This window comes from Homo sapiens, chromosome 11 (assembly GCF_000001405.40).
Source record: "Homo sapiens chromosome 11, GRCh38.p14 Primary Assembly".
In the NCBI taxonomy this organism is placed as follows: domain Eukaryota; kingdom Metazoa; phylum Chordata; class Mammalia; order Primates; family Hominidae; genus Homo; species Homo sapiens.
Genome location: NC_000011.10, coordinates 5,749,325 through 5,760,852, shown reverse-complemented (window position 1 = coordinate 5,760,852; position 11,528 = coordinate 5,749,325). Strand labels below are relative to the sequence as shown.

General features: G+C 32.8%; 1 protein-coding gene across 3 annotated transcripts in view; it reads right to left on the bottom strand.

Moving 5' to 3' along the window:
- Window positions 1-4,894: 4,894 nt before the first annotated feature.
- The window catches only part of OR52N4 (olfactory receptor family 52 subfamily N member 4), a 29,487-nt gene continuing 22,853 nt past the window's right edge, over window positions 4,895-11,528 (bottom strand). For 2 of the 3 annotated variants that reach the window (XM_017017711.3, XM_017017713.3), the window contains one exon: window positions 4,895-6,160. In XM_017017711.3, coding sequence (XP_016873200.1) covers window positions 5,147-6,112 — 966 coding nt within the window. In that variant the 5' untranslated portion in view covers window positions 6,113-6,160 and the 3' untranslated portion in view covers window positions 4,895-5,146. Of the gene's footprint in view, window positions 6,161-6,547; window positions 6,611-11,528 lie in introns of those variants that run through there. The other variant, NM_001005175.5, reaches the window with a different exon arrangement.

The following is an 11,528-nucleotide window of genomic DNA, read 5'->3' as shown; positions in this document are numbered from 1 at the left end:
ATTTTTAAGTTTTATACATACAGAAATTTCAGAGGGATTTTCTGTCAATTTGTATCTCTAGGACTTGTACAATATTGAGGAAAGCACTCCAAAAATAATTCAGGTAGTGAGATCTAGAGGTCAAATAATATTAAGTAATTGATGAACAACCATAGGATAGAGGCTTAAAATTCTTGCATCCTCTTGTATTCAGTTTAGGTAGTCTGAGCTTCATTACACAAAAGGAAGGGAAGATGAGGTGCTTAGCTCTCTGATAGGTTGTAGAATAGCCTGATTCTCTCTGGGTAACCCTAGAAATAGTTTGCAGAAGAATTCAATTTGTCAACTCCATCCTACCTATCCCCTCTTCTAACCTCACACAAACATATGCAAATAAGAAATCCATATGATTTTATAATATTCCATAGTCTAAGCTTATCAATGCATATGCATAGTGTACACAGCACGCCTTCCCCAACCATGTCACACAATTAACAGAAAACTTTCCCTTAATGCAAGCTAGATTCAGAACTACTTTATCTATTTCATAACAAAAATAGCAAACACTTACATAGTACTTCTTATATGACAGAAATCATTCCTTGTGTCTTACATATTTTAAAAATTATCATTCATAATAACCTCCATTGTGTTAGGCACCAGTATCTTTACATCTTATAGATAAAGGAACTGATGCACATAAATTTTAAGAAACTTGCCTGATATCACACAGTACATGTTATAGCTGAACTTGGAATTCTCACGCTCCCATTGATCCTATCTACACAATTCCGAGGCTTTTTCATATCTCTAAATGAATCAGACAGATGACTGTATTGTGAGAAATTATAAATTTTGTTGATTTTTTTCAGGGAAGCAGCTCCATGCCTTATTGATTTTTTCTATTATTTTTCTGTTTTCAGTTTTATTGATTTCACTCTTATTTTTGTTGTTTTCTTTTTTCTACTTGCTTTGGATTTATAGTCTGATTTTTTCTATACTCTTGAAGTGGTAGCTGAGCTTATTGATCTGAGACTTTTAATTCTCCTAATATAATTATTTAATTGTATGAATTTCCCTCTTGGTAATACTTTCGCAGTGTCCCACACATTTTGATATGTTGAATTGTCATTTTTCTTCAATATAATTTTTTTTTGAGACACAGTCTTACTCTGATGCCCCGGCTGACGTGCAGTGGCATGATCTCGGATCACTGCAAACTCTGCCTCCCGGGTTCAAGGGATTCTCCTGCCTCAGCCTCACAAGTAGCTGGGATTACAGGCATGGGCCACTATGCCCGGCTAATTTTTTTTTTTTTTTAATTTTTAGTAGCGGGTTTCACCATGTCAGTTAGGCTGGTCTCAAACTTCTGACCTCAGGTGATCCACCTGCCTCGGCCTCCCAAAGTGCTGGGATTATAGGCATGGGCCACTGTGACCGGCAATATATTTTTTAAAATATCCCTGACACTTCCTTTTTGACCCAAAGATTATTTAGAAATGTGCTGTTTAGTTTTCTACTGTTTGGAGATTTTCATTACATATATATGCTACCATTATATATATATATTATATATATACTACCATTATATATATATATTATATATATACTACCATTATATATACATATTATATATATAAAATGAATAATATATTTATTTATTTCCAGTTTTACTTCATTTTATGTGGAAAATACACTCTGTATGCTTGAAATTATTTTTAAAAGTTTGGGTTTCTTTCATTGTTCAGTACAATTTAGGGCTATGTTCTGTGAGCACTTGAAAAAAAAAATGTATTCTCCTCTTGTTGAGTAGCATGTTCTAGAAGTGTTTTTCAGATTAGGTTGATTGATTGTGTTATAAGTTCTTATATATCATTGCTAACTTTCTGTATAATTGTTTTTTTTTATTGTTAAGAGAAGTGAGTTAAAGTCTGTCCCTGAAGTTGCAGATTTTATATTCTTACTGTCATACAGAATGTACTGTGGGAATGTACTGTGGGAATGTACCAAAATTCATTTAACCCATCTGATGGTGATGGACATTTAGATATTTCCAGTTTTAAGTTTTATTCTACAAATCATGTTGCAGTAAGCATTCTAATTGATGGGTTCTGGTAATTATATATTTACAGTTTTGTGTGAAATGGACCTGATGGTTATGCGTATCTTTATCATTACAAGATATGCAAAAAATAATTAGTTAAATTTACATACCTGCCAGTAGTATGACAGATATACTACAGAGCAGGTAGAACAATTTTAAAAGAGTAATAAAAAAGAGAAAACAATCTTTCCAATACTCATAGTCTCACCAATTTTTTGCTGTTGATTTTTGGAAGTTCTTTATATGTTTTAGATTTTAATCTTTTATCAGATATATGGTTTGCAAATATTATTTCCCATTCTGTAAGTTGCTCTTTTACTCTGTTGATTGTTTTCTTTGCTGTGCAAAAGCTTTTCAGTTTGATATAGTCCCATTTGCCTATTTTTGCTATTTTTCCTTGTGTTTTTAATGTCCTAACTAAGAAATCATAGCCAAGACCAATGTTATGAAATGTTTCTATTTTGTTTTCTTCTAGGAGTTTTGTGGTTTTAGTTCTTTGGTTTAAGTCTTTGATCCACTTTGAATCTATTTTTGTATGTGGTGTAAGATAAGAGTCCAATTTCATCCTTTTGCATATGGATATTCAGTTTTCCCAAATTCATTTGTTGACAAGAATGTCTTTCCCCATTGTGTTTTCTTGCCACCCTTGTTGAACATCCATTAACCGTATGTGCATGGGTTTATTTCTGAGCTCTCTATTCCATTGGTCTATGTGTCTTAATACTGTGCTGTTTTAATTTATTACACTTATTTATACATACTGTTTTAATTGTTGTCGTTTTATAATATGTTTTTAAATAATGAGGTGTGAGGCCTTCAACTTTGTTCTTTCTTAAGATTGTTTTGGTTATTTATAGTCCTTTGTGGTTCCACATGAATATTAGCACTGCTTTTTTATTTCTATAAAAATTTTCATTGGGAATTAAATAAGGATTGCACTAAGTTCATAGTTACCTCATGCAGTACGAGAATTTTAACACTAGCAAGTCTTCTAAAATGTGAACATAAAATATCTTTCCATTTATTTGCATCTTCTTTAAAAAAAAGTTTTGTAGTTTTCAGTTTATAAGTGTTTGCCTTCTTGGTTAAATTTATTCCAAAGTGTTATATTCTTTTTAATATTATTACTGTAAAAAAGATTGTTTTCTTAATTTCCATTTCACATTGTTCAAGATAGTGTATGGAAGCACAGGTGATTTTTGTGTGTTGTGAAGTTAGTAGATGCAAATTTTTTATCAAAACTGTATCTAGCCAACTTAACAATTTTGAAATAAGTAATATACATTACATTGACAAGTATAAAATATAAATACATGTTCCAAGATATTTAAGATAAATACATCTTAAAGTATTGAGTGAGAAATTAGCAGATTAAGTTGTTTAGCACAATAAAATGTATTTAAATTAAAACACATAAAATCACTGAATAATAACATCTATTTTTAAGGAAACTAAAATATAACAAACGTTATGCCAAAATCACTGGGAGATAAACTGGAGGAGCAGGACATGGAAAATTGGAGTAGACATGGAGAATGCAGGGGGAAAAAGGAGATATTGACCTGTCTAAGAAAGATAGTATGCCATGAAGAATAAGTACGTGGAAAACAGTTCTCTGAACCTTAGCTTCCTTTGGGGAATCATTAGTTTTATAGCCAATACTTAAGACCATGACACTAAAGGAGAACACCTAGGAAGAGAATGTAGAAAACAAATCAAAGTTAAACAAAGTGTATTACATAAATGAAATATGTAGTGTCTCTGAAGTAAATAAAAATGATATAGTGTTTCAAGATATTGGAAATACTGAGTTGAAATCAATATTCCTGAGAGAGTGTGAGATGAGCAAAGAAGGAGGACTATTTAGTTTGTTAACATGGAAAAGCATTGGTGAAGTTGACAATAGCAATTTCAGATAACAACTGGGATAAGAGAAAGACAAACTAGGAGAAGAGTGATGTCAGGTTGAGGAAGTAAAGAGAATACTGATGACTTTTAGCTTTAGGGTAGCAAATATTGAAATAGGGCGATACATGGAGGATAATAATATTTTAGTGGGTACTGCTGTTTGGCCAGCTTGTAAAATGCAACATAGTCAAGAAGGATTCACTAAGTGAATAAATGCAATTTGACGACTATAGTTAACTAAATTTCAGGGAAGTACATGTTTTCTTGTCAGTTGGACACAGAAAAATAACAGTAAAAGTTGAGTTTATATTCCTTATATAATTGGCTTAGTTTATGAGACATTAATATGAAAATACTATGTTCTATAGTTTCTCACTTGTTTTTTAATTTAGATAAATCTTAAATATTAGAAATATATACCTAATTTTCCTTATTAGATTCACAATTAGAGATAAAATGAAACAAGTAGATTTTGATCCCCTTTCATACAGGTCTTAGAAAAAAATTATACTGTTTTTTATTTTTGGTTAAGATCTCTACCTCTCTTTCCAGGCTCTGTGCTTTTTAAAAAGCCCCTTTAAAGAAAACGAAATATCCAATTATTCTGTTGTGAAATAATTATGTGACCTATTCAGCCTAATAATATTTTAGCTAGATGCTTAGAGACTTAAAACTCATTTTAGACTTTATGGCATGCACTCTAGATTCTCCTTCAGGAAAATGTCATTGAAGAAACAGGTTTTTGGTAGTTATGAGAAATATATAGCACATGTTTTCTAGACAAAAGTAATAACTGGCTATTAATCTGAAATATTAATCTGAAAATTGTGATCATTGAAAAGAAGACTCACATCATCTCCTTCTACTTAGATTTGTCTTTTCATAAAAAATGGACTCATTAGGTTTTGTCGAATAAAATATGGTTTAATTATTAGACTGGTCCTTCACATGAGTGAGAAGGTAAAAAATTTATAGAAATGTTGGTGGGCCTTCCAATGATGTTGAGATTCCCAAGGTACTTATTGAGAATGCACCAGTTAACAAACTCCATTTTGTGATCAATACAGTGCTTCCAGAAAGATTTTATGAACTCCTGCATAAGAGGCAAATAGAAGTAATTCTTTCCTTCTCTTCTCACTCCTGGCAAGTGTTCATTCACATGCTGTAGGATTTGGTATCCTTAGAACCTGAAAGGATCCTTATGACACAGTCTCGTATCTGTTTGGTTTTCACCCCATAGACAATAGGGTTCATAGTGGGTGGTAGGAGCAGATAAATATTGGCTACAATGATGTGGCAAGAAGGGGGGATTATGTGTTCCCCAAAGCGGTGGGAAAAGAAGGAGAAGAAAGCTGGAGTATAGGAGAAAACAATGGCACAAATGTGGGCAGTGCAGGTATTAAAGGCCTTCTGCCGAGCATCTGCTGAGGAGAGGCTGACCACTGCCCGGAGAATCATGGTATAGGAGTTGGTGATACACAGTATGTCAAAGCCCCAAATCAGGAGGGCAACCATCAGACCATAGATGGCATTGACCTTGACATTACCACAGGACAATTTGGCTACAGACATGTGGTCACAGTAGGTATGGGGAAGTATATTGCCTCTGCAGTAGGGCAGGAGCTTGGTGAGGAAAGTAAAGGGAATAATGAGTAATACCCCTCTCAGGAAGGTGGCAGTCCCAACCTTTGCAATTACAGGATTGGTGAGGATAGTTGAATAGCGTAAGGGGTAGCAGATGGCCACATAGCGATCCAGGGCCATAAGCATAAGCACCCCAGACTCCATCCCTGTGAAGGTGTGGGTGAAGAACATCTGGACAAGGCATTCATCAAATCCAATGTCCTTGAGATGAAACCAGAAGATGCAGAGGGCTTTAGGGATTGTACTAGAGCACATAACAAGGTCAGTAAAGGAAAGCATGGCCAAGAAGTAGTACATGGGTTTGTGCAGGGCATCCTCATAGTGAATGAGGTAGAGGAGTCCACAATTCCCTACCATAGCCACAACATACATAGAGCAGAATGGGAAGGAAATCCAGAGTTGTGTGTCTTCCAGTCCTGGGACTCCATTCAGAATAAATGAAGCTGGTATTAGGTCTGTTTTATTCAGTGTTAGCATGATAAGTCTGGTAGGTTATGAAATAGCTCAAAATTTGTCTGGGCTTTCCTAGAGTTAAAAAAAAAAACAAGAGAAAATATAGGTTATTTTTACTGTCTCCCTCTCCCCCAACTTTTAAAAATTCCATAATGCATTTTAATGGTCCAACAACCAAATTTCTGAGTGCCAAGAAATAATTTTGTTTGTCTGTTTAGTTTTATTGATTGATTAATTAATTGATTCAGTAAAAAATTCTTATTGAGCAGTCTAAGTTTTCAACACAGATGCCAATCAAACATCAATTATTTTATAAAAAGACATATTCCCAATCTCATAGATTTATAATCAAGTATAATTCTGACTTTTCAAATGGTATTTTTATTAGAATATCTTACTTAACTATAACTATACTCATCTCAATATAGATATAATTTTAAAGAAGAGTCATTTGATTACCTCACTGATGATCTGAGAGATGAGATGTTGACTTTTTAATTTTTATTCTTAATGACTGACTGATATTTATTCTTGGGTACTCAGGCACTGTTCAAAGAATTTTGAAATTTTAATTAAATTATTACTCAATGAAGCTTGGGGTCTCAAAAATTAGTAAATTTATTGGGTGTCTATACTCAATAATAATTTAATTGTATATTTTAAAATAACTAAAATAATATAATTGGGTTGTCTGTAACACAAAGGATAAATGTTTGAGATGATGGATACCCCTATTTACTTTACTGGGATTTTTTTTTTTTTTTTTTTTTTTTTTTGAGGCAGAGTCTTGCTTTGTTGCCCAGGCTGGAGTGCAGTGGCGCAATCTTGGCTGCAACCTCCACCTCCCGGATTCAAGCAATTCTCCTGTCTTAGCCTCCCGAGTAGCTGCGACTACAGGCACATGCCACCACGCCCAGCTAATTTTTGTATTTTTAGCAGAGATGGGGTTTCACTATATTGGTCAGGTTGGTCTCCAACTCCTGACCTCAGGTAATCCACCCACATCAGGCTCCCAAAGTGCTGGGATTACAGGCATGAGCCACTGTGCCCGGCCCTTTAAAAGGGATTATTACACATTGTATGCTTCTATCAAAATATCTCATACACCCATAAATATATACACCTACTATGTGCCCACAAAAATTTAAAATTAAAAAAGTCAATGAAGTTTTGATTCAATTTTTTCACTTTTCAAGATATCTTTCTTGTTCTTTATGTATCTAGTCAACGCAAACTAGAAGATATCCAAATGCATACATACAGAAAATATATAAAGTACTTCAACAACATCAGTAAGAAAAAGTTGCAGGAAGAAACATACACTTCAAAAGAGAAATAAAATTGCCAATGAACAGGTAAATAGGCACAAACTTTTATATTAATCAGAAAAATAAGTAAAAATTGTATCTCTCATGACAAAGCACCTTTTTTTGGTATGTAGTGACATACCAAACAGGACAGCTAAAATGAAAAGAACTAAAAATACCAAGCATTGGCAAAGATGTAGAACAACTGGAACTCTCATTTACTGCTGGTAGACATGTAAATTAGAACAACTCTTTATTAGATATCTCATAATGATAAACATACACATGACCACCATTGCCATTTCCAACAAAACTATGTATATATATTTACTAGAATACATCAATTAGAATGCTTATTGAAACATGATTTGTAGTATAGCCTAAAACTGGAAAAAACCTAAATGTTCATCAACATCAAATGGGTAAATAAATTTTGGTACATTCCCACAATGAAATACCACGTAACAATAAGAATAAACAATCTATGACTATATGCATAATATAGACGAATCTCACAATATGTGTTAATTTTTTTTAGAAAGACTTAAAATAGATGTAACATCTTGTGATCTTTAAATGAAATACAAAAACGGATCAAATTATTCTGTGCTATTAGAAATAGAAAAATCTTTTTAAAAAGTGAGAGAGAGTGATAACTGAAAGGCAGTATGTGGTAGAAGGGTCCTGTTAGTTGCTGGTCATATTCCCTTACTTGATTTGGTTGTGAGATATACAAGATTCAGGTTGTAAAAATCAATCAACATGTAATTGGATTAATTGTAAAATTGCATATGTATGTTAGAATTTATAATAACAAAAATTAAATTGCCAAGAGGATTAAAGGACGTAATATGTTAAAACATGCTACCACATTTTAAGTGCTCAATACCCATATTTGTATTTTCTACTCAGGCTGGCAGCCATTTTGGCAATGCTTACAAAAATTAACACCATAGGAATCATGAGTGCCACCAAATGAACTCTCTTTTGTGCCCCATCAGAGGAGGTATTCATCCTAACCTCCATTAATAAAATACACTGTTTTAAGATTAGCATCTGATAGGAAGTACAGTCACATGTTCTGCCTTATTGGGTAAGATGAAGAGGACAGATCAGATTTATCAAAAGGCAACTTGTTTTGAAAATAGTAGAAAAACACAGGTTAAACTTGTTAATAGGCATGCTCCTCAAAGATATGTACTCAAGTCATTACAAAATGTCAGAGTTATACTGGGTGTCATAGGAGCACCTGTGTGTCTAACCTAGCCTCAGGAGATGCTCCTAGAGAAGAGGACAGATGCTTCCAGACCTGGAGCATGATTAGAATTCTGACAGGTCAAAGTGGTAGGAACAGCATTTTCTTCTGTTGCTGTTTGCTGTTTCCTACTCATATCGCACTGACATTCTCAGCTTTGTGATAGGCAAACCTCTATCTCCTTGGTGCTCCCTTTGCCCACTCCCCTCAAATGTAGCTAATCCCTATACATTCTTCAAGCAGAACCATCATCAGGAGGTCTCAAATGTCCTTTGGACATGATAGCGACCCATCCTTTAAATTATTTTAAGATAATGTAGCTACCAATAGCCTTGACTAGGGGTAAGAAATTGATTTGTTCAAACAATTATTCTCTTTAATAATATTTCCCTCATGATATTATGAAAATCAACTTATATTTAGGAATTCTCCAAAATTCAGTGAAATCACCGATGTAAGGACAGTGTCTGGTAAAGCATCCTCAGAGCCGAGCAAATCAAATCTCTCATATTAGATACTCAATAAATGTCAATTTTAAAATAAATAAACAAATAAGTAAATGAAAAAGTGAATGACTCACCCGAAACACTTTATTTTGATAATTATTAAATTATAATCTAAGTATTATTAGATTGGTGCAAACATAATTGCGGTTTTTACCATTAAAAGTAATGGCAAAGCCACAATTCCTTTTGCACCAACCTAATATTACTTGGAATGTATAAAAGAAACCACTAGAAGGAAAAAAAAGAGAAAGTTTTACTTAAGATTACTAGAAAAGCTAAACAACATAAGGCATCTCTCTCATAAAGTAGAGAAACAGAGAATACAAAGTGGAAAAAAAAAGATGACAAAGGCAGAACAAACATTGGTTTTGGATATAAAAATAATTTAAACTTCCCATCAAGTTGAAATAATTCCAACTAATTTTTAAAAATTATATATGCAGTATAAGATTTCATCAGAATGAAAATTATACACAAAGGTTTAAAAATATATACAAACATAATATTTTTAGATAAACAGTATACCTCATACTTAGGATATACTAATACTAGAAAAAAGAATTCAAAGCTAAAACACTCAAGTCAAGATCACTTTGAGAAGACAAAACGCTTAGCATTGTGTAATTAAAGGTAATTGTACCAAATTGTTTTTTTTCCAAGTTTGATAAGGTTTTTCTATAACACAAATAACGAAAAGCACTTAAATTCACATTCTCACTTTGTTGATATGGAGGGACAATGTTAATATGAGGACCTCCCAAAGTTACACTTACATTACATAGCAGCTTATAAACTCATTTTTAAATTTTTAATTAAGGTAAGTGAATGGTTCAAAAATTGAAATTTTAGCTTTGGAATTTTCAGAAGTATGTTAATTATTATTTTGTAAAAGCATAAAAGATAGTCTTCAATACATGAAATGTTTTTCTATGAACATCAAAATTACAGGATTCTGCCTTTCAGACAGAATTTATAAACTATGAATTTATATTTTATATTTGTAGTCACTATTATATTTTTCAGATTTTTTACATATACCTCATTTTTCAGATGTTTTACAATATATTATTAAGCAAAATAACTGACAGTGACAGTGGCAATAATCCATTTATAAAACTACTTTTTCAATAATTTATAAAAATTTAGTATAAACTATTCAATAGTGTCACGATTCTTTTCTCCATCTCACTTTAATATATTGAACAGTGTCTTATTAAATGTGATGCTCAGTGCTTGTTTTGGGCTATACATTGCTTTGTAAATAGCAGCTCAGGATGCACTTTTGCAGCTTTTCTTGGAGTTAAAGTGACCATTTCAAGTAATGGAAAATGCTATTTTTAATGTCTTAATGAATTATGTGTGGAAAGAACAATTACCTGGGTGGAGAAAAATATACTTGTAGATCTGTATTGAACCTGCACATATCCAAGTATGTGTTCATGGTTCCACTGCATGTGAAATAAGTATCCATGTGTTAGAAGTAGGTAGAGAAATTAGGGGAAGCATAAATATCTCCTAAACCGAAAATAGAATAATTTGCTTCTGAGATTACATGCACACTTGTATCTAAATACTAGATAAATATTTTATTAGTATTTCCTATATTTTCTTGTTTTCGGCATACCTTTAGTCACTAAAACTGGTTTTATGCTTACACAACAATTTAGGTCCCATCTTCAACACATTTACAAAGCTCTCCAAGAACTACATAACTATCTAAGTATTATTAATAAGTACAAACGTATGCAATTTTCTTCCTAAAACATTTAAAATAGTTTGTACACATCAAAGTTTAATTTCTTCTGCAAAGAAATTTGACTTTGCTATGCTGGGGTGTGGAAAGAGTCATTGGAAAAGTAATATTGATACATGTTATCTTCTATCTAACCTCATTCTTAAACTCTGTAGGCCAATAAATTTGTTTTGTTTTGTTTTGTTTTCGTTCAACCATCTCCAATCTAGTAGACCCAACTTCTCATATGAGGGTTGCTTGCTCCGTGTGGATTAGATTTTGCTACTGCAAACACATGAAACAAAAGTCCTATCTCAGTCTTTCCAGGAAATAACCAAGGAAAATTAGACTATGGTTTGGGGGAAGTAAAGGAGAGCAAGTAAGAAGCAAGAGTAATGGGTAAATATTCTCTAGCTAGTCTTTCATTTCTCCTTATTGTGGGGGTAATCCACACTTGACTTCCACCACTAGTAAAAAAGGATTCCCATTTAAACAGAGAAATACACAGATAATCATAATCATTATAATTCACACTGAATTTTAATGCTTGATTTGGGAAAATAAATGTTTTCCAAAAGAACTCAACCTCACACAATGCTTCTTCCTTCCAACTATGTGATTGGAATCAATGACTTAGCTG